The 24,242-nt window shown below is 39.7% G+C and overlaps 1 protein-coding gene and 1 long non-coding RNA gene across 19 annotated transcripts in view; one reads left to right on the forward strand and one right to left on the reverse strand.

Moving 5' to 3' along the window:
• LOC101928415 (uncharacterized) overlaps positions 1–24,242 on the forward strand; it is a 69,547-nt gene that overhangs the window by 33,780 nt on the left and 11,525 nt on the right. Inside the window, exon 1 of one of the 3 annotated variants that reach the window (XR_007068405.1) lies at positions 20,697–23,710. The exons of the other annotated variants lie outside the window; for them this stretch is intronic. This is a non-coding gene — a long non-coding RNA (uncharacterized LOC101928415). Of the gene's footprint in view, positions 1–20,696; positions 23,711–24,242 lie in introns of those variants that run through there. 3 annotated transcript variants of the gene reach the window in all.
• Positions 1–24,242, reverse strand: part of ADGRG2 (adhesion G protein-coupled receptor G2) — a 133,650-nt gene that overhangs the window by 32,060 nt on the left and 77,348 nt on the right. For 6 of the 16 annotated variants that reach the window (XM_006724455.3, NM_001184834.2, NM_001079858.3 and 3 more), the window contains 10 exons: positions 18,823–18,858; positions 16,223–16,270; positions 16,101–16,124; positions 14,576–14,611; positions 12,247–12,288; positions 9,618–9,671; positions 6,817–6,872; positions 5,853–5,908; positions 2,543–2,582; positions 2,050–2,087 (listed from right to left, as the gene is read on the reverse strand). In XM_006724455.3, the coding sequence (XP_006724518.1) occupies positions 2,050–2,087; positions 2,543–2,582; positions 5,853–5,908; positions 6,817–6,872; positions 9,618–9,671; positions 12,247–12,288; positions 14,576–14,611; positions 16,101–16,124; positions 16,223–16,270; positions 18,823–18,858 (430 nt within the window). The remainder of the gene's footprint in view (positions 1–2,049; positions 2,088–2,542; positions 2,583–5,852; positions 5,909–6,816; positions 6,873–9,617; positions 9,672–12,246; positions 12,289–14,575; positions 14,612–16,100; positions 16,125–16,222; positions 16,271–18,822; positions 18,859–24,242) is intronic. The other 10 variants (XM_047441757.1, NM_005756.4, NM_001184836.2 and 7 more) reach the window with 7 other exon arrangements.

Raw genomic sequence — 24,242 nt, forward strand, 5'->3', positions numbered from 1 at the left:
ACCCAAAAAGACTTTATATTAAGAGACATTTATGGAGGTTCACATTCACAGAGGTTGCAAACCAGAGACTCTCTGACCACACATAGGTGCTGGCTCATTTTGCCTGTCTACACGATGAACAGGCAGGGGTGAAACTTGGTTGCAGAGACAAGCAAGCACCTTGACACCTTTAATCTCACCCCCAAAACACTAGCTGGCCACTTGCCTGGTGTCCATAAACATTTGAGTTTCCATCATGGGTGCCCTTTCACATACCAGTCTAGATGAACATCAAGATCTTTTTTTCTTTTTTTGTTTTAGATGGAGTCTCGCTCTCTTGCCCAGGTTGGAGTGCAGTGGCATGATCTCAGCTCACTGCAACCTCCCCGCCTCCCAGGTTCAAGCGATTCTCCTCCCTCAGCCTCCTGAGTAGCTGGGATTACAGCCGTGTATCACCACACCCCACTAATTTTTGTATTTTCATTAGAGATGGGGTTTTGCCATGTTGGCCAGTCTAGTCTCAAACACCTGACCTCAGGTGATCTGCCCACCTCGGCCTCCCAAAGTGCTGGGATTACAAGTGTGAGCCACTGCACCCAGCCACATCAAGACCTTTCAAATCCAAAATCTTTCTGGGGCCGGGTGCGGTGGCTCACACCTGTAATCCCAGCACTTTGGAAGGCCGAGGCAGGTGGATCACTTGAGTCCAGGATTTTGAGACCAGCCTGGCCAACATGCTGAAAACCTGTCTCTACTAAAAATACAAAAAGTAGCTGGGTGTGGTGGTGGGTGCCTGTAATCCCAGCTACTCAGGAGGCTGGGGCAGGGAGAATCACTTGAACCTGGGAGGTGGAAGTTGCAGTGAGCCGAGATCGTGCCATTGCACTCCAGCCAGGGCAACAGAGTGAGACTCCATCTCAAAAAAAAAAAAAAATCTTTCTGGGAATTCTATCTAGATTATTAGATAGCTAAGAATTGAAGACATTCTCTCTGTCCTTTCTACTTTAGCCTTGGTTTAGGTGAAAGAAAATTAGTGTTGCAATAACGAAAAGAGGTCAGTGAAATGAACTAAATACGTACAGTGGACAGGGAATACAATTTCATTGCCCTTATTTGTACCAATGAATAGTTTAATGAGTAGAAACTCTCATTTTCTAGGACTTTGACTGTCACAGAAGGCTCGGGGTTCAGATACTGAGTGTATTGCCCTGTAAGCCATCGGTTTACACAGCCAGGATAGCCAATGGACACAATTCAAAATGATAATCTGTGCAACCCCAAATAATTGTTGGACAAGCTGTGATTCACCCCTGTGTGCATGTGCTTCTTAATTTGTTCTTTTCTCTTTCTTTAAAAAAAATTTTTTTTTCAGACAAAGTCTCACTCTGTCACCCATGCTGGAGGGCAGTGGCGCAATCTCGGCTCACTGCAACCTCTGCCTCCCAGGCTCAAGTGATTCTTGTGCCTCAGCCTCCTGAGTAGCTGGGATTACAAGAGCCCGCCACCATGCCTGGCTAATTTTTGTATTTTTAGTAGAGATGGGGTTTTGCCATGTTGGCCAGGTTGGAATCCAACCCCTGACTTCAAGTGATCTGCCCACCTCAGCCTCCCAAAGTGTTGGGATTACAGGCGTGAGCCACCACACCCAGCCATGTTCTTTTCTCTTTCTTTCCAATCTTTTCCTTCCCCCTCTTTCCTTCTTTTCCCAAGCTCCATGTTACATTCCCTCTTTTTGTTCTGGCCTTCACCCTGCCTGGACCACTGGGAGCCATTTCCTGGTTATATTGGTGGCCCTCGGGGCTAAGGACACTGATGACCCTTAGCCTTGTGGAACCGGAGGTAAATGGCCCGATACTACACACTTCTCTGTACTTTGTAAAGAAATGAGAAGATGGATATGACAGAGTGATCAGTGTTTAGAAAAATAAAAATATTTAAATCCAAAATGTCATTAATATGTATTTATTTTAGAGGACCCCCTTTGCATTTGCAATTTAACTAAGACTCCTTAATACTTTATTTCTCATAAATGGAGAAATTATATTTATGAAAGTATTAAAAATGACTGACCTTTGGGCCTCTGCTGTAGCACACATTATAAAGTAAGTCTGAAACAAAACAAAAAACACGTATACACATATATGTTACTTTGGGCAGTTGGAAATATCAGAAAAGAAGACCTAAGGCTAATCACAGAATTTTAGAATCACGAGAGCCCTTAGGGATTGTCCACTTCACATTCCTACCAGATTCCCGGCATATCATCAACGCTCTTCAGGCCATACAATCTCTGTGAGGTCACTATTACACAAGGAAGCTCATTTTCTTGGAGTTTATATTTTAAGAAACTCTTGGTGTTACATGAAGGAAAATCTACCTCCTTATAATGTCTACCCATTGCTTCTAGTTCTGATTTTTGGAATAAAAAAACTAGTCCATTCATTCTCTTACACAACAAATTTGGGAGAATTTGAATACATATCTCCCAGGAATGCAGAACCCTATGCTTTCCCCCAGGTCATAACAATAATTATAAACAAGCTACAGGGTGCACTATGATTACCTCACTTAGGGTTTGCAGGGTTTTGTTGAGCTCTGAGCGTCTGTAATAAAATGAGAGAAATTGACATTAAGGAGACCATTAGTGATATTAAATTGAAAACATGTTAGATTTTAGCAATTAAATCAAGCACATGGTATACATTGCTTATGGTGTTCACTTTGAAGAAATAGAGAGTATAATAAGAGAGTCCTATGTGGCAAGAAAATAAATAATTTATATGACAAGGGAAACCAACCAGACAGGAGCTATGTCAGTTCTAGCCAAAAGTGAGTTATAAATTATGATTGGACAATTTTGTTATTCATTAGGCTACTGCAGCCTCAGGCAGCTTCTTCTGGCAGAGGGTCAGAGGGAGAGCTAGCCCCAGGCAAAAATTTTCGAGAGGGGCAGGCCACTCACCCTGGGGACCTTGTGCTTCTGATTTCTTCCTCATCCCGTCTCCCACTGACCTGGTCTGCCCTCTCTGGCCCTCTCCAACGCTGCCTTCCCCTCCTCACAACTCCCCCTTAGGAAATTCTCTCTTTCCTCTCCTCCAATCCCACTCCAACCATGCTTTCATTTCTTCAAAGTGGCAGAGCTTCACATGAAGTTGGGATGAGAGGAATCCAGTTAAAGAATTCATTCTAAGGCGGTAGTTCTCAAACAGGGGAGAGTCTGCCCTCCAGGGGATATTTGGCCATGTCTGGAGACATTTTTGGTTGTTACGCTGAGGAGGGTGCTACTGGCATCTGGTAGAGAGAGGCCAGGGATGCTGTTAAACACCTTACAATGCACGGGATACCCCCACAACAAAGAATGATCCAGCCTGCTGGAAGTCAAGAGTGCCAAGGTTGAGAAAACCTGCTCCAAGGAATGGTAGCATCAGGCAAGGTCTGGAAGGAAGAAGGGAAGGACCATGGCAATAGCTGCTAACTCCTCAAGCTGGCAGGAGCCATTCCTCCGTAACTGTGCTCAGAGACCACCTCCTGGGCTCAAGCGATCCTCCTGCCTCAGCCTCCTGAGTAGCTGGGACTATAGGCACATACCATCATGCCTGGCTAATTTTTTGTAGAGACCACGTCTCACCATGTTACCCAGGCTGGTCTCAAACTCCTGGGCTCAAGAGATCCACCTGCCTCGGCCTCCCACAGTGCTGGGATTATAGTCATGAGCCACCATGCCCCACCTACAGGTCACCTTCTTTCTGGGGGTTCCCCTATCCCTCCGCTGCAGTCCGGTTTAATTGCTCCTGCTGCTCTACATTCAGAGACTTAGAACATCCATCCTTTGGTACCCTATACAAGCCACCTTCAGTGCAGGGGTTGCACTGTATTGTTATTTGTTGCATCTTGTGTCTTCCCCACCAGATTCTAGAGCCCTGGTTCTCACAATTAGCCTCATGTTGGAAACATGCCAATGCTGGGTCTCAGCCCCTAAATACTGATTTGTTATGGAGCATGCCTGGGCACTGGGATTTTTGAAAGCTCCCAGGTGATTTTAATATGCAACCAGGGATGAGAAACATTGCTCTAGACTTGGTTTCCTATCTCAGAGAGTTGGGTTTATCCCTGTGGATCCCCAAGGCCGAGCACAAAGTAGGTGTTCAACAAATGCCTGGTGACCTTAAATGAACTCAGTTCTATTTCTAGTCTAGTAATTAAGAGTAATTACAAGTATGCCAAGTTGTATTCTAATTGTAAATTTGTGAGTTAAAAAAAAAAGTTTTGGCTGGGCACGGTGGTTCATGCCTATAATCCTAGCACTTTGAGAGGCCGAGGTGGGCAGAACACTTGAGGTCAAGAGTTTGAGACCAGCCTGGCCAACATGGCAAAACCCCGTCTCTACTAAAAATACAAAAATTAGCCAGGTGTGGTGCACATGCCTGTAATCCCAGCTACTCGGGAGGCTGAGGCACGAGAACTGCTTGAACCCAGGAGGGTGGAGGTTGCAGTGAGCCGAGATGGCACCATTGTATTCCAGCCTGGGCAACAAAGTGAGACTCCATCTCAAAAAAAAAAAATTATTCTATTGCCCAGCTAAAGTTTCAGATCCTTCCAGAGCATTGATCTTTTCTGCTTTACATTTCACATATATAAATGAATAGTTAGAAAAGCTAGATTTCATCAGGAGGTCAAAGAATAGGCATAAAGGACATGAATAACACCCCACCCCACTCCCAGTTCTTACTAGTTGAACTTCTTAACCACTACAAACTGAGTAGGCCCTAGGGATGTTTGCTATCTGCCAAATGCTTCTCTCTGCCTAGGCATTGCTGAATCATTAGATGTAGCCAGGTCAAAAAGCTAATTTGAAAGATGACCCATAAGAAGAGGGATTTGTTTTGTTTTGTTTTTAAATGAAAGATTTTTCTTTTCAGTGTCATCACAGACACTACAGCAGATTTGCTTCAAAAGTTTATAACAATCTCATTTGTGAGGCAGTAGCAATGTTGAGAGTAGATGAATTTTGTCTCTGATGCTGCTTCACTGGCTGCTATGAGGGCATAAACGTGAAGTTGACCCTTTTGGTGACGGACACAGTAAGATCATCTCCTGGCCTAGGCCATCCTGGTGGCTGACATTTTGACTTACTGTTTAACTGGGGGCACTTTTTTTTTTTTTTTTTGAGACAGAGTTTCGCTCTTGTCACCCAGGCTGGAGTGCAATGGTGCAATCTTGGCTCACTGCAACTTCTGCCTCCCAGGTTTAAGCAATTCTTCCGCCTCAGCCTCCCGAGTAGCTGGGATTACAGGCGCCCACCACCACGCCCGGCTAATTTTTGTATTTTTAGTAGAGATGGGATTTCACCATGTTCGCCAGGCTAGTCTTGAACTCCTGCCTTCAGGTGATCCACCTGCCTCGGCCTCCAAAAGTGCTGGGATTACAGGGGTTAGCCACCGCACCCGGCCAAGGGGCATCTGTTTGTAATGCATTTCTCATTGTCTGTGCTTGTCCTTCTAAGCCCAGGTCTACTTAACAAAGACTTTTCTCTGACTTATGAATCACTGATGCTTCATGAAAGCATCAACAAATCATATATTTGGAGTCCCACCTTGGACTCCTCTTTCAACCATGCTGGATATCAAATCATATTAAAACTCAAATGCTAATTCAAATGAAGCTGTTATATAACTTCAGCGCATCAAAGAGCCTCATGGGGATAATAGTTGATGTGATTATGGTTAATCTGCAAGGAAGTCAAGAACCAATTGGCTCTATAACCTTTGGGCTGGTCTCTTTCCCATTCTCAGTTTTCAATTGCAAACATGGCTCAAAAAGTATCCTTCCATAGTTGATGTCTGCAGTTTCAAATCAAACGGCAGATTACTCACTTTAATTCACTTAGAGACAGGACTCCAGTTAAGGTGCCATTCGTTATATGTTGATTCTGTTAGAAGCATAAAATCATTAAGAATATAACAAACATTGTTTTGTTTTTTCACTCTCTAACAGTAAGTTGTTCTTCAGTTTTATCAGCCACTCAAATAACTATACCCCAAAGACTGAATCCTAACTGTAAGGAACATTGTCTATCTAAATGATCAAGCTGCAGTTTTATAGAAAAGGGAGGGCAAAAAGTGGTTCTTAAAAGTTAATCCATATTGGCTGAGCCTGTTTTTGTTTCATGTTTTCTTTAAAAAATATTCTAAGTCAGCAGCTCTGATGTGCTGATTTCTGTCTTTCTTTATTTCACGAGTTCCTCACAAAGAACACTATTAACATTCTTGTCACGAAAGGTCCCGGATCTAAGTAACAGACCCCAATGTAAAAAGGAAAACTTGATAGCAGCCATTGCTGTATTTCTAGCAATGAGCTCATTGCCTGGCACATAGTAGGTGCTCAGAAATAGTCATCGAATGAATGAACCACATTTGGCCATCCTCTGAACCAATCTAGGTTTTGGGAAGGCTGATACCACTGCATCAGAATCCCCCATGGGGCAAAGAGAATCACATTCAGAATATTATTCATAGATTCAATACACATATTTCTTGTTGCTAGGAGTTTCTAATATAATTTAAAATTTTAACTGGCAGTAGAATTGCATCACCTTAACATTCTTATTCAGCAGCAAGCCTATTGAAAACTAAAATATAGTTATTAACAAAATACCATGATTATTATGAATTCAAGCCCTCGCTACAAAGCTAGGGACTCAATTAACATATTTCATTTAAATTTGGTCATAACAATAAATATACCAAATATCATAAATAATCTGAACCTCAAACAAATGTTTAAATATAAATGAATTTGCCTTTTAAGATTGCAGTAAAAAAAATCTTTAAAACTTACCTGGGGAACAGTGCTTTCTTTATCATATTGAAACATGATCTCACCTCTAAAAAATGCTAAAAATAAATTTTCAAAAAGATATTTGAGACTTGTATCCTTATAGCTTGAGGATTAATACCACATACAAAAAGATTATCAAATTATAAAGTTTCATCAAATTGTTTTTATTCACATTTACTTTGTCAGTAAGTTACTCAACTATTATCAATATAATTTTCAGAAAATATGAACTGTAAATTTTATGTGGGAATTCAGAAAGAGAAAACTTGTCCCCTTGTTAAGAAATTTTATTCCTGGGGACTTTGACTCTATCTGGAAACAAATAAAATAGAGACTCCTAAACAGAAAGACGTGGTGTGCACTTCATAATCTATATGCAGGGGTGTCCACTCTTTTGGCTTCCCTGAGTCACATTGAAAGAAGAATTGTCTTGGGCCACATATAAAATACTCTAACGACAACTGATGAGCTAAAAAAAAAAAAGGCCATGCATAAGTCTCATAATGTTTTATGAAAGTTTATGAGTTTGTGTTGGGCCACATTCAAAGCTGTCCTGCGCCGCATGTGGCCCATGGGCCGCAGTTGAACAAGCTTGATCTCGTGAGCAAACTGGCCTTGTGAGCAATGGGGCAAGGATATCACATAAACTAGAGCCAGGGCTCAGCCAACGTTTTTGGTGATTGAGCAGGTAGTCAATATTTGAGGGTTTGCAGGCCATATGATCTATGCTGTAACTACCCAACTCTGCCATTGTAGCATGAAAGCAGCCATAGGCAATACGTAAATGAACAGGCATGGGCTGTGTTCCAATAAAACTTTATTTACAAAAACAGGCCATATTTGGACTATGGCTGGTAGTTTGCCAACCCCTGAGCTAGAAGGCCTCCTCTTCTCATCATCTTTTATTGTACCCCAAAGTACAACAACTTATTCCTGCTTAAAAATGGCCAAGAAGGCACTAGACCAGTGTTTGACATGATCTATTTCAGCAACTTTTCTACTAAGAACCTCAGTTTCCACATATCGATACTGAAATTTCAATTCATACAGTATGTAATTATTAAAAGATATTTGAGATCTACATAGACTTATCCATTTTTAAAAATCTTAGCTTTTAAATGATTATTTAAATTGTGTGTGTACGTGCATGCCAACACCCACAACGTCTCTGCCTCACATTCTTATTGATGAATATTGAGTTTCATAAATGTGCTGGGAGCACAGTGGTAGCAGAGCAACCAGGAAGCCAGCACCTTTTGACTATCAGCCTGACTCTTGGTCAGCTCCCACTTTCTTCACCAGCCTCCATTTTCCTTAATGAACCCAGATTGGAACCTGCAAGAAGTGAAGGTTTCTAGTTTCTGGCAGGGTACCATGGGGTTTCTGGTGCCAAAAACCCTGATGAGGTTGTTGTCACCGACACTAAAACAAACGGTCAATTCAGTCCCTTAATTGGGGAAAACATTACTCCAACCAGCTTTCTGGCATCTGTTACTCAAGATGACCAGTTTTTTTTTTTTTAACTACATGTTCAATTTTCAAACAGTTATCAAACATCATGTAGACACAACACTGAACTAGACATTAGTCACCAGCCCAAAACATAAGTGAAGCACAAAAATAATGACATTATGGGGAATTCGGTGAACGGAAGAGTCAGAGAGGAGGGAGAGAAGGAGGAGGAAAAGAGAAGAGAGTTATACAATATACGAAAATGAAATGTATCCAACACTTTGCTTTCTTTAATCAAAACCAGCTAATATTTTCCTCCTATATTCTACCTGGAACGTAGTATCAGCAGAAAAATGAGCAAATCTTATATTCACACAATAGAAAGTGTTTGTGAAACATTCTTTCAATAGGACATTTTCTTGTTTTCTAATTTATCCAACCTTATTTTACTTGAAATTGTTACCTATGTTTTTCAAACAAATTATTAAACTGTTAAAAGGAATGGAATAAAGAAAATATTCCTGTAATGATTGCTTATTACTATAATCACAATAAGACTTTCAGAACATAAAATACCTAGTTAACTTCCTCTTCTCGCTTCTCATGATCTCTGGCCAATTCTGATCTGCCACACAATATTTTTCTGTTTTTCACATTTGCTTTCATTGGTTTTAACAAGGAAGGGAGCCCAGAGAGCCAAACCAAGGTGAGAAAAGTGGTTGTTTCATTCCGTCTGGCCCATGGCAGAAGGGAAAATATTCCCATTTCAAAAATAGCATGTTCTCAAGGGATTTCCATCTCAATTTTTAAAAATAGCAAATGGTCTTAGTTAGAAATGGCAAAATACACTATGGACACTACTGGAATTAGCATCCACTTAAACTAGGTGTACTTGAGTTTTCAACATTCAACAGGCTGATCCGCTTTATTCTTAGCAAGACGTTATCCTGTTTCTAAGCTCTAATACTTAAGGCCCTATGGAAAAGCTTGACAGATTTCTATATAAGAAGTGACTTTCAATAATTATTAATGTCTTTATTAGTTATGTTCACAAATTAATTCTAAGGGTATTAGTTATGGATTTAAAGCTATAATGAAAAATATTTATTGTAGAGCTTTATGTCTCATATTAAGGAAGTTAATCCATCTTCTCACTAGGCAACGGGAAGATAATTTCAGCCAGATATAAAATTTGCTTTTGTTTTTATTAGGGACTCCTAGTAGCCAGGTGGCATGAAAAGAGGCAGCTCCAAGAGGCACATACCACATACTCAAAAGAAAAGAAAGTGAACCATTTATCTCTATGGAGGAAATTTATCTGGTAATGTGTAATGTACACAAGAACTAACCTGAGTCATTGCAAATAGATGACAAATTGCAGATATTTCTCTGGGGTTTGACGCCTGCAAAGAAAACACAACCCAGCTGGTTAAGCATGTCAATGCCCGTGTTTATGTGCTGCATTGTCAAGAGAATTCATAAACGTAGGCATCAAATGTGGACCAGAAATATTATAAGCTGGAATTAATTGGATGGATGAATTCCACAAAGACTAAAGAAATGAGTTTTCATTTGTTGGTCATTTGTCAGCTACGGAACTTAATTCTTTACTAATCTTTAGTATGTCAATATCTGATCCTTAACTCCTCCCTAAAATTTTTGACCCCTTCCCAATTAATCCCTCTCCTGTTCAGTATAAACAGAGCACCATGAACACAAACCAAGTAGAGACTTTAAATGGAATGGCCCTTAATCATAGATCCTCCTTCTTTTCCTATGTAGGGGAGTCTATGAACACTCTAATGTTAATCCTAGCTCTTTATGCAAATGTATGTATGAAATAACATTAATGTCATAATATTGTTTCATGGGCAAAAACTACAAAATTCAAAACATATTTGCTGAGCATTAACCATATTCTACAGGCTTTGGGAGTTTCCAGATATAGATCCTGCCCTCAAGGAGCATACAATCTAGTGGATGATACTAGCCAGTAAATAAAAAGCATTTTTTAATTTACTTATTAGTGAGGGCAAAATGGAGTGATGACCAGGACAACAGACCACACAGGCATACAAAGGAGACAGAGATGACTGGGAGATAAAATGAGCATCAGAACCAAAACTTTATACGTATTAACCTGAGAAACACTTTCTCCTTTGGTGAGAGGAGAAGTGTATCTCTTCTTCAATTTGAAAAGAACTCAAGGTTTACTTCTCTAAAAAGCCTTCCTTTATTAATTGCATCCTTTTGGCAAAGCATAAGAAATCCATAGTACATGGGAGGAGCAAATGCTGATAATGTATTAAACAAACTGCCAAGGGAAAAACTTGTTATATTAAGAAATATTTTTGTCTCCTTGTTAGGTCTTGTTTGGTCAGAATTATGTGTGCAATGCCCAACTGCAAGTTTATTTCCATTGCACATTACAAATCCTTAAATTCTTTTCTATGAGAAAACTAGTTTGGGTACAAACTAAAATTATAATTTGAGTTAGTGCATGTGATATGCTTTCTGCTAGTGTGATTTATTGATGTACAGGCATCATGCTTTAGCGAAGACACCTATAGCTATGAGTTTTGATTTTGTGAGCAAATTAAATTTAGGTACCCCAAATTACCAGATCTGTAGATTTTTATATTGTTCCAAAGCAGTGTTACCCACACCAAAAGAGAAATATTTCATTTCTTCTTCTGTCTATAAGCAAATATACTTGCTTATAGATAGAACTCACTATAACATATATATTATGCAAATATAGAATTTATAGATTTTATAATGGGTAGTTATGCTGTAAATGTCCTTTAAACCATTGCTGTATTACTTACTAAACTTTTCATTCGATCATCTCATCTTTTTCTAAATTTTAGCTGCAGCTCCGTTTCCAGTGATGCGTGTCTTCTTGCTGTTCATTCATACTGAGAATTTTGTTTTTCCTACTGCTAGCATTCTCATCTGTAATCTCCTCTATGTACATGGCCACAGGTCATTCCTTAAATCATGAGTGAGAAAACTTTCTAAAGGGTCAGATAGTAAATATTTAAGCTTTGTGGGTCATATGGTCTCTGTTGCAACCACTCGTGTTTTACGCAGCAGAAAAATAGCTATAGAGAATATGTAAGCAAAGGGGCATGGTAGTGTTCCAATAAAACTTTATTCACAAAAACAGGCAGTGAGCCCGATTTGGCCCATTGGTGATAGTTTGCCAACCGCTACTTGAAATCAAGCCTTTGTCAAGCATGTCTTGTGTGTGTAGTCTTGTATCAGAAACTTAAAAGTACACATTTTCTTTGATTTAAAAAGAATTTGGCCAGGTGCAGTGGCTCAGGCCTGTAATCCTAGCACTCTGGGAGGCCGAGGCAGGCAGATCACTTGAGCCCAGGAGTTTGAGACCAGCCTGGGCAACGTGGCGAAATCCTGTCTCTACAAAAAATACAAAAATTAGCCGTGCTTGATGGCACAAGCCTGCAGTCCCAGCTACTCAGGAGGCTGAGGTGGGAGGATCACCTGAGCCAAGGAGGTTGAGGCTGCAGTGAGCTATGATTGCATCACTGCACTGTAGCCTGGGCCACTGAGTGAGATCTTGTCTCAGGAAAAAAAAATTTGAGGTTCATTCCTCTAACTTCTTCATTAATTGCATCCCCCTCTACTCCTATGCCTCTTAACCATGTCAGTAATACTTGTATAATCATTGCCTTTATCTGCATGCATGTTCATGTTAGTTATCTATTTTTTTGCCTTGTCTCCACCCATAGACTAGAAGATTCTTGAGGGTAGGCTCTGTGTCTGATCATTATTATATAGCCCCAAACACCTAGTACAATTTCAGGTACCCAGTGCATACACATCTGTTTGTTAAGACCAGATTTTATCTTGAAAAGTTTGGAAAAAAGAGAAAGAAATTATAAACACCAGCCATTTGTTTAATTTTACTTTAGTTATAAAAAGGAAAGTCTTGATATTGATAATAAGTCATACCTGATGCATTGAAGGTTTTTACTATAGTGATTTTAGTTTTTTCTGCAAAGAAACAACTTAAATATTAGAGAATAATCATTGCTTGTTTTTTAAAAACAATTTGCCATGAGTATCATTTTAGTGAAGTGCTAAAAAAAAAGTCACACTGTTGACACCTTTAAGACACTATCGGTCATCTCAGCAGCAGAATGAATAGGAACCGCATCCACGGATCATGTAGCATTGGCACAGGGTGAGTCTGGGAGTTGGAGTTCCATGTTTACGCAGTTAGATCACACCCATTACACACCCCACTGCCTGTGTAATTCTACTTTACTTTCCACACACTGCTGCTAGACAAATGATGTGGACTTACACTTCAGATATGTAGAATTAAGCCACTATCGGGACCTTCAGGTGATAGGTTGTAAAAACAGGTAATTCAGAATAAAAATTAATGTGAAACAGTACACATGGGATGTAAAGTATTGCTATTATACAATCAAGTGTCTCGCTATCTTCTTTAGGAGTTAACATAATACTATCCCCATTGTACTGATAGAGAATGCTATTCTCAGAGAGGTCGAGATCATCCACCTATACACAATCACATAACACGCCCACAGCAGAACCAAGACTGTTCAAAGTGAGTGACTCACAGGCAAATATTAACATGCCCTGAAGAAGCAAACTTTAGAAATGTCTTCCAAACACGTTTTGGGGACAGAGCCCATGGTTCATTCCCCAGGTAACGGAGAAGCAGGTACAGAAATCTTTGCTGTAAAAATGGCCAATGGAAAGAGGCTGTGTTCAGGGCATAGATTTTCACCGAAGCTCTGTCACCTAGGGTGGATGGGCAAATTCTGAAGAAAAGGCCAAGCTCAGAGATTGGAAACACACTTAAGAATGATGATGTTATCCTGGCAGAAACTCATCAGTAACAAAGACACACAAATGAGGTTTCTGAAACTGTCAGGTTTCAATGTGTGACCCATGAGCCAATGATGGGTGGTAATTATGAAGGCTGATAGCATTTCACATTGTCATTAAGAATCTTTTAGGTCCGGGTGCCGTGGCTCACGCCTGTAATCCCAGCACTTTGGGAGGCTGAGGCGGGCGGATCACAAGGTCAGGAGATCGAGACTATCCTGGCTAACACAGTGAAACCCCATCTCTACTAAAAATACAAAAAATTAGCCAGGCGTGGTGGCGGGCACCTGTAGTCCCAGCTACTCGGGAGGCTAAGGCAGGAGAATGGCGTGAACCCGGGAGGCGGAGCTTGCAGTGAGCCAAGAAGGCGCCACTGCACTCCAGCCTGGATGACAGAGAGAGACTCCGTCTCAAAAAAAAAAAAATCTTTTAAATATATTATTTTGTTTGCCCTGATAGTTTCCTTTTCAGAGCAAACAAAATACAACTGTGAAATGAACTTCTGGTTTTGGTAACTAAAGTGCTCTGGGGTAAAAATGTTTAACTTCACTAGTAATCATGAATGAAAAATAAAACCTAAGCGTTGAGAGAAAGATTTAATAAGATATGATACAGTCTCAGCAAAGGTACAGTGACAGACATTCTCATCCACTGCGGACAGGAATGTCGCTAGGCACGACCTTTCTAGAAGGTAACCAAGCAGTAGTATCAAGAGTCTTACAATATTCATACTGCTGACCCTTAGAATGCAATCCTTGCATACTGCAATCCTTAGAATGTATCTTACAGAAATAAGAAATGAATGCAAAGATGTTGGCACCAGAATGTTCATTGCAATAACTTCTATTAAAAAGATAGAAACAACTTTAAAGTTCAACATATGGTACAAAATGGAATATTATCAAGTCATAATAGTAAGGGACACTGGAATATACTTCTAACGTAATATTAAGTCAAATGGGCAAGATACAAAAATCTATGTAAATTATGACTATTTTGCAAAGGATATAAGAGTATATGTATATAAATATATGTATAAATGATACTGAATGGAAATAGACCAAATTGTTAACAGTCATAGTCTTAGGAAAGTAACATTAAAGATGATTTGTATTTTCTTCTTTGCATTTCTCTATATTCTCCATCTTTATGAGCTAATATGTATCACTATTATAATCACAAAAATAATACATGCTATTTTAAATGGAGTGCTATGGCCATCCTTTGGAAGTTTGGGAGTGTGGTGACAGAATTATAGTTCAATGTCAAAGTCAAAGGGGTCATAAATCAATGGTTGAAGGCACAGGAAAAAGGGCAAGGAGGCAAAAGAAAACTCTTTAGTAACCCAGTAGACTGCACAAGCAAGACACTCAAGAGGCTGCAGAAGAAGCTATTACATTTAGAAATCACTTGATATTACCTGTTTCGTTTGAAGGGAGTAAGCTTAAAGTAACATCTGAAATAAAATAATAAAAATTAGCATAACTACTGGCATGGTTTACAAACATGTGTGTCTTCCTAGGTTCCTTAAACATTTCCCTTTTCCCCAAATCTGGGAGAAGTTAGTTTTGCAAAAGCCAACTGACACTACTAAATGTTTTTGCTACCCATCCTCTCACTACTCCATTCTCCAACCCCTGGAGACAATTCCGGAGCAAATGTTCATTGATTCAAATGCAAGTTACATGTCTAAACACTTAGCAACACTCCCGTAACCATTAGATTTGAATAAACTCATCTATGTTGTTTAATATTTTGTCCCTTTTTTCTCTATTATAATGAACGTCCCTAAGGGATATGACATTTCCAACATTAATACTGATTTTAATATATAGCCCTGTGGATGCATAATACATTTTTACCAGTGGTACACTCTTATAAAGCAATTTAAAATAATTCTAGCTTAAATTTGGAGTAAATGACCATTATATTCGACTAACTTTTAAGAAAATCTCATTTGGATCCTGTTTGATTTAAAATCCAATTTAAAATCGATTCTATTGGCATTTCTTTAAATCCAAATCATTCTAGAATTTATGATTCTGGATGAAATTTTAGGAAAAAACCAAAAGGCATTTATTACATCATACTTAAAACACACACACACACACACACACACACACACACACACAAAATGGGATCCAAAAACTGCACCAAAGCTAAATTGAAGATATTATTTTCACTGTGAGAAGTAACTGCACATAAAAATGATAACATCTGTCCCTTCCCATTGGGCCAAATATGAATTTAAACCAGTTTTGATCAGTATAAGCTGCATCTATGATTGTTTAGCTCCTTAGCCACCAACCATATGGTGAGATTTGATTTTAACCAAGGGCTTGTGAAAAGTGTTGGGGTTTCATCGCAATAAGATGGAAGGAAGGCTGTCTACCCATTCTGTTCACTTATTGGAGGGAACAGAATGTACTGCTCTGCCCCCTTCCCTTGAATAAAGCCCACTTCTTTGCCCTTTTCTCTAGCATGATAGGGAAGCCATTTTTTTCCCATTTCATACTATTTAAAAATTGATCAAATCATCTGTAAAAAGGCTGTCTTTGAACACACTGTGCCTCCAAATCCATGCTGAATCATATTGAATAACTGGATGTGCTTTTCACATTTAAACAATCTGTCATGTAAAACTTGTTGGCATTGTGTTGGACAGCAAGGGAATGGATAATTCAAAATGTGATCGATATTTCTTTTATTTTTAGCTAACAATTAGAGTGGTGGACTGCTCTCTTCCCTCCATGACTGTAAGAATGTTATCATTTAACCAGAAAGTTTAGGTCACTCTCCAGGGTTGGCAAGTTTTGTTTTGGGTTATTTGAAACTACTCGACGTATTCAGAAATAATTTAGAAATGGAAACCTTCAACACCATTCATTATACTTATATTCATATTAAGGGTTATCAATTTTCACTTGCTTCAGAAAAATTCTTACCATTGAGGCTTGTTGTTTCAACCTCTTTTTGTCCCGAGGAGAAAAACAATACAAAGATATAATTAAAACAAAACTTTAACAAATTGGACTAAATCTAGGTTTAAATTTTTTCAAAATCTTGCCTGGAGTACCATTGGAGGAGGGGGCAAAACTGACAACAGATAATTTAGCTGCAGGAGAAAAAAAAATTAAATCAATATTTTGAAACGATTATTTGTCAAATTTTAAAGAATTAAAACTTTTGAGATATAATTACGAAAAGAAGTAGAAAACACACTAGCAGACCAAGTTGTAGTTAAATCTGCATGTCCCATAAGCGCTCAGTGAGTATAAAATTTAATCAGAGAATTGTAGGAAAAGAACCCAAGATGAGTGAACCTGAGACCCGTGATTGCAAAGCTTGCTAACTACTTATGGAATATTATAGAAATAAGATTAGGAACCAGACCAAAATACAAGAAATACTACTTTAAAAATTTTTCAGCCAGAGCATTCTAGAAAACATTTTAAATAACTTGCCGAATTACAATCATGAAATATATTGGCACGCTGGTGCCATTCTGTTACAGTGATGCCTAGCAAATCTTCCCACAGTAAATTTAGGATTAAAAAAATTGCTACCACTCAATACTGTACTACCTAACCAGATTTCCTGGTAAGTTATTTTAAAATATGGCTGCTATTAAGGCAATTAATCAAGTGATAAATTTCCTGTGGAATGACTCCACTTAAGCTAAGAAGTCAATCTACTACACACATTTTGCATATTTAAATATTTAAAAGATTCAATGGCTTGACCTCTACCTAAACATGGGAAAAGCAAACACCAACATTTTATAACTAAAATAAGTTTTGCAGTATGGAGCCTGATTTTCAGCTGGTATGGACCAAAGTTGGGTGTGTCAAGGCACTTTGGCTGGCCTGCTTTAGACTGCTCTTGTGTTGGCTGAAACACACACACCCTGTCTGTCCACATTATTGTTTCCATATTTTGTCATTTACTACATTTATTTATTTCTTAAATTACCAAGGATATTTCTTGAGAAGTAAGACAGTTCCTGAGCAATAAGATTCAAAGTGTAGATATAGAATCCTTTTTGCTCTTGGGGCAGAACAAAATAATTGGCCACAACTAGTTTTTAAGGAATGACTATTAATTCTTCCGAATGTTGATGAATGGTGACACTGTGCAAAGAAGAGACCTCTGGGCATGGCTGCCCATCCATCCCTTGATGCTACACTGGCTCTTACCTTCCAGTTTGCACTGCTCTCCCCCAGGGCACCCAGAAGCCAGGCTGTGACTAGACCCAGTGTGTCCCCCCAGAGTCCCATTCCCTATTCTATGCAAACAAGGTTTTGCAGATATCACCATGATTCAGTTTGCTAAGGACTATTCTATTGGAAGAAAAATATAGTGGTTCATTGTGCCCTAGAAGCTTAACAACTAGGGGGCAAATTGGCGAGATCAAAAGAGCTTGGACTTTGGAGGCCTGCAGTCCTGGGTTTGAATCTTTGCCCCATTACTCAAAAACTCGTAAAAATAATAGTTACCACTTACCAAGGGTTTACACTGTGCCTGGCACATATGTTATCTCATTCCGTCTTCACAACTACCCGACAACAGCTACTATTATTCTCCCTAATTTACAGGAGAGGAAACTGAGGCATGGAAAGGTTAAAGGAACTAGCCCAAAACCACACAGCTAGGAATGAAGGCAGGAAGGTGGTGGCCAAATTACAACTCAAGTCATCTGGCTCCAGAGAATGTGTGAACACGAGCATGTTTTATCCTCCCCAAGCCCCAGTTTCCTCATCTATAACACGAATATTTCCTATGCTGCAAGACTGAGAGGAGAACGAGGAGATGTCTGAAGGCTTCCAGATACATAGTAGTGCATGAGAAGTATAGCTATTGTGATTAATTGGATTTAAATAATGAATCAATAACAGTAGAAGCTCATTTGCACACAACTACAGAAAGAATGTGAGTTGACTCACTCCCCATCATAAAAGATTGTTCTGGAATAGATGGTGTACCCAAAAGAATACAGAAGTAGGAGTCAGAGAAGCCATGTGCTGCCTCTGTGTGATGTGGAGCAAGGAGCTGTGTGATCTTAGAGAAGTTCCTCAGCCACTCCAGGCTTCATTATCTCATCAACTAATGGACAGGGCTGGGTCACTTTATCCCTAAGGTCCCATTCCAGCTAGCAGTCTCGAATTCAGGTTCTGTTCCAGGCACTTGCCAATCTGGGTTCTAATGTATTTGCCTTCCCATTCTGGTGAGTGCTGGGCCCTTAGAATCCTAGTGAAAAATATCCTTTCAGTGGAGGTACTGAGGGTGTATATTTAAGTGAACATCTCATCTCATCTCCTCCCTTAAATGTAAAAACATCTGGCATGTTTATGTTCCTGATACTCTTCAAGAGACTTGTGAACTAGAATACTAAAAATAACTGCTGAACTTAAGTAATTACTGTAATGAAAACTAACAATTTAGTCCCCTGTGATTTGTTGCCTGGCTTTGTCCCGCAATATGGACGGATCAATATGACTGTCCTCTGGTCTATGCTTGCATTGATTTTTCAGGTGTAGGCTTAATGACCTAATTAAGCTTCTTGGAGGAAAACAATTTTGTTGTACCTGACTACATGCCATGTTTCATAGAGAACTTACAGAATAATATTTTCCTGAAATTCCCCAGAGTTCTAAAAAAACAACTTACCAGGTGGTGGTGACAAACTGGAATTATCAGTATCTTCTGTTGAGGAAAAGAGGTGATTCAGAATTAGTTTCATGAGGACTAAAATCAATAAAATTGTACTATATTAAGGATTTTTTGTCAAATAAGTAGGTTTCAGCTACTCATGTCACTAAAAAAAAGTATGTGAATGTTTATCAGCCTCACTACTGTAACAATTTCACTATCCATATGTACTCCATCCCATCATGTTATAAACCTCAAATGTGCACAATAAAATTTATTTTAAAAAATAAGATAAAATTAGTTTAATTTATGCACACATTTGTAGGAGATTAACATCTTTAATGGAAGTGAACGTAAGCTGAATTACAAATAGCTACCAAAAGAGGGCAGTATGTTAATTTACTATTATTTTCAACAGCCTAATCAATACTTTTTAACGTGTATGTTTGCATAAATTAAACTTCCATTAACTGTGCTGCTTTTGAGCACAGACGTTATATCTATTAAGCCATTTCTTTCTTATGAGTTAAGCTAGATCAGACACCTCTGGGTTTATAAACTACAAGAGCTGCTGAGTTATTTATTTGGGGAAAATGCTCAGATCTCTTAAAAGAAAAGTAATTCTATATTTCTATCTATGAAAATAATACATACATATTGGAGAAACGAGAAATTACAGATAAGCAAGAAGAAGAAAATAAAAACCATCTATAATTTCACCACTCAGAGAAAAATGACATTAACATGTTAGTATATATTATTTCTCTATGTGTGTATATATATTTACATATATAGATATATGCATGTGTTTATATGTGTATATATTTACATATATACAGATACATGCATATATGTTTATATGTATATATATGTATGTATAAGGATTATATCACACAAAAATATTTATAACTTGATTTTTCTCATGACAATATATCATGAACGTCATTCTATATCATCAAACAATTTTCCACAACACCATCTATGATGGCTGAATAGCACTTCAATTGTTGTATGTACTATTTATCTATATAACAAATTTCCTCTTAATGGGCATTTTGGTGTGTATGATTTTTCATGATTACAAACAATGCTGCAATAAATCCTTTGGGCTAAATTTTTACATACATATGTGGCTATTTCTTTCAGAAATTCCATAAATGTTGTTTGCAAAATGCCCTAGAGAAAACTTGGACCAATTTATACTACCCTTTAGAAGTGTTACATCCCCAAATACTGACCCACATGGGGTGTTATCTTATACATTAAAAAAATTAATTACAAAGGGATATTTTTACAATGTTATCTTGAGATACAATTAATAGGAAAGAATAAGTATGTTTGCAAACTAACATTGCACAGTGAAACATACCTGGTAGCCTCCAGGAGCCTATTTTCTTGAAATGATGGTAGGGTACTGATTGTTTTCTGGGATAATTAAAATCATAGTTCGGCTCGAAAGCAGGACTGAATGAGTGCCCAAGTTCCCCAATAACCCTGCAGCCAACAAGGCAAATGTAGGCAAGTGGCTAGGTGCTTTGGTGCCCTAATTTAATTGCAGTTACTTCTTCCTTAGTCTCTGTTCTTCTGTATCTCTCATGCTACTTTAATATTCCACTAATCTGTTGAGTTAGCTTTTAAAGGGTTAATTTTGTTTTTGAGACAGGGTCTCACTCTGTTGCCCAGGCTGGAGTGCAGTGGTGCGGTTGTGGCTCACTGCAGCCTCAGACATCCCAGGCTCAAGTGATCCTCCCACCTCAGCCTCTTGAATAGCTGGGACCATAGGTACGCACCACCACACCTGGCTAATTTTTTTATTTTATTTTTTGTGGAGATGGGGGTCTCACTATGTTGCCAGGGCTGGTCTTGAACTCCTGAGGCTCAAGCACTCACCTCGGCCTCCCAAAGTGCTGGGATTACAGGTGTGAGCCACCATGCCCAGCCTGAAAGGGTTAATTGAAAAAATACCTTTGGGAACACTGAAGGGGTCATCAGTCATTCACATCTTAGTATGAGTTCATTTGAATTGGGTGAATTCATCTGATCATCTAGCAAAGAGCTACCACACTGGGCAACGTGGGAAAGCCCTGGGTAAAATCAACATTCAATATGGACTACCCTCAGAATGACACCTGTCAGTGTGGGCAGGTAAAGTGAAGAAGGGCAGGCACCTGGCAAAGGCGGGGAGCAGGATGAAGGCACCTGGGAAGAGTTAGGTACCAGAGAAGAGGGATGGAGAGTGACGTCGAGGGGCAACAGAGGCTAACATTGCTTCACTGACAATTTTGCCCGGTGGATGGCCATAGTTCCAACCTTCTCCACTGCCAAATCTGTTGACCACAGCTGTGTACACACAGGGGGCTGATTTGAGTTTCACCTCTTTCTTACTTATTAGAAAAAAATGGACAAGTCAAGGGTAAGAGAAGAGCCAGAGCAGAGAAGGAAGTTTTCTGGGAAACTCACAAAACTGGTCCTCCATCCCTGAGTTTGATAGGCGTGGGCTTATAATCAAGAGCTGAAACTTGATCAAAATGTAGATAAGGCTGGGCGCAGTGGCTCACATCTATAATCCCAGCATTTTAGGAGGCCGAGGTGGGAGGATCACTTGAGGCCAGGAGTTCGAGACCAGCCTGGCCAACATGGCGAAACCCCGTCTCTACTAAAAATATAAAAATTAGCCAGGCGTGGTGGTGCACATCTGCAATCCCAGCTACTTGGGAGGCGGAGGCATGAGAACTGCTTGAACCCAGGAGGCGGAGGTTGCAGTGAGCTGAGATCACACCACTGCACTCCAGCCTGGGCGACGGAGCCAAACTCTGTTTCAAAAAAAAAAAGTAGATGAGGGGTTGGACCAGCCCAGGGCTGGTCTCTTTCATCATGAAATGTACAGGGCTCTCAGTAACTCCTGACAGGAAAGACAGCGGTCTACTTTGATGAAGGGAGGGAATCTAGTAAATTAAAGCTAGAGATTTTTAAATGATTCTTCTCTGCTTTTTTCTTTTGGCATTTCTTTTTCCTTTAGGAACCCAGCTGCTCAGTCACTAACATTTATTCACTTTTTCTGTCTCTCATTATGATGCTCCACCTCACTCCTGGTCCAACCTAGAGGTATCCCCACAGGACTTACACTTTTCTGAGGATCAGCTTATGTTTCTCTTGGGCCCTCTCCTAACTCACTTCCCATTTGTTACAACTTAAAGAGGTGGTCGTCATATCCAGTGAGTCATATATTTGAGCTCCATGCCACTCTTAGGAGACAAAACATTTCCATTGTTAAAAAGATTCATAAACAAAGAAAGGAAAAACATTTAAAATTTTCAGATTTTCCTTTGGAACCTACAAAGAGCCAATTTTCAAGCATTATTCATTTATGGAAGTCTCAATTTAAGTCAATAAATAAAATTATGGTGCCGTGTCTATAAAATTTACTCAGTATGACTCCCTAGTGATTTTTTTAAAACAAAGTCCATATATTCCAATTAGGATGAGCAGGAGTTTGGCTTAGAATAGAAGCCAAATGGAGCCAGACGAACTGGAAACTCAAGAAACTGGCCCCATCAATGGAGTCTCTTTCCCTACATCCCCTCCCAGGCATTTTTTTTTTTTCAGTTATTGCCACTACCTTCTAAACTCTAATCCCACATGGCCAAGTGTGGTTCGAGCACTGCCATGTGAATGTCTTGCTGTCATTGCTTCTCCAACTCAGTATATCCAAGAACTCATCCCTCATCACCCCACATCATTTCCACCCTTGATCAGTTCCTGAACTCAAAAGTATTGCCAGTAACACCCGCCAAACATTTAAGTTGAAAACTTCAGTACTGGTTTGCTGTTGCTGCTGTACCATTAACTTACTGGCTTCAAACACAAAATTGTTATCTTAGAGTTCTGCATGTCAGACGTCCAGTAGGAGTCTCACCAGATTAAAATCAATGCTGATGATGCTAGGCCACATTCTTTTCTGGAAACTCTAGGGGAGAATCCATTTCCTGCTTATTCAGGATAAGCAGAATTCAGATCCTTGTGGTTGTAGGACCAAGGTCCTCATTTTCTTGCTAGCAATACATTGAGGGCCATTCCTTCAATTCCCAGAGTCTAGAAGCCCCCCACATTTCTTGGCTCATGCCCCATTCCTCTATCTTCAAAGTCAGCCATGATGGGACAGGGCCAGGTCTTTCTCAGGTGGCATCACTCTGACTCCTCTTCACTTTTAAGAGCTATTAGGCCCACCCAAGTAGTCCACGATAATCTCATGGTCTTTCATTTTAATCACACCTGCAAAGTTCCCTTTGCTATGTAAGGTAACATATTTACAGGTTCCAGGGATTTTAGGATGTGGACATTTTTGGGGAGCCATCAGTCTTTCCACCATACTCAGAAACCCAGTTTCCTAAATTATGGAGAATGAGTTGCAAGGAACCGCCCTTCAAGAGAGAAAATCCTACAGGGGTCAAGTGAAGAGCCCAGAAACAAAGAGTTACTTTTAACAATAGAGTCGAGTCTACAAACCAAGATGCTAACTCTCTGGCCATTGCTCCTGACTCCTCCCCATCCCCAACTCCCACCTCCATATCCAGTCATTGCATCCTGGGCAGTCTTCTCATTGTAGCATGGGGCTGTTGCAAGGATTCTCAAAGAGAGAATGTACATGGCATAACAGGAATAGCAAAAACTGATCCACGCTTCCTGTGATCCAGGCTTACCACATGAAGGACTTCAAACATACTTTATTATTTAATCAGCCAACAACTTTGCAAATGTGATGAACACTGAGGATCCTGAGATGGATCGATTATCCTGGATTACCTGGGTGGGCCCAATCTAGTCCATGAGTTCTTAAAAGTGGAAGAGGCAGGCAGAAGAGTGGGTCAGAGTTATGCCATGAGAAGGACTCCTCGACCCTGAAGAGGTAGGTGATATCATTAACATCATTCCTTGTTAGTGCTTGAGAAACAGGATGGGTGAGGTTTAGAAACTTGTTCAAGGCCTCACAGATCATTGCTTGTAGACCTGAGATTTGAACGAAGGCAGTTTGACTTCTGAGCCTAACCTCTGAGGCTCTACTCTATCCCAGTTCCAATGACAAACTCTGTAGACCATAATCGAATACAGAAATGGGGGGTGTTGTTATTATTATTATTATTATTATTATTATTTTGAGACAGAGTCTCGCTCTGTCGCCCAGGCTGGAGTGCAGTGGCGCAATCTCGGCTCACTGCAAGCTCCTCCTCCCGGGTTCAAGTGATTCTCCTGCCTCAGCCTCCCGAGTAGCTGGGATTACAGGAACCTGCCACCACGCCTGGCTAATTTTGGTATTTTTAGTAGAGACGGGGTTTCACCATGTTGGCCAGGCTGGTCTGGAACTCCTGACCTCAAGTGATCCGCCTGCCTTGGCCTCCCAAAGTGCTGCAATTACAGGTGTGAGCCACCGCGCCTGGCCA

The sequence above is a fragment of the Homo sapiens genome, chromosome X (assembly GCF_000001405.40).
Source record: "Homo sapiens chromosome X, GRCh38.p14 Primary Assembly".
Classification (NCBI taxonomy): Eukaryota; Metazoa; Chordata; class Mammalia; order Primates; family Hominidae; genus Homo; species Homo sapiens.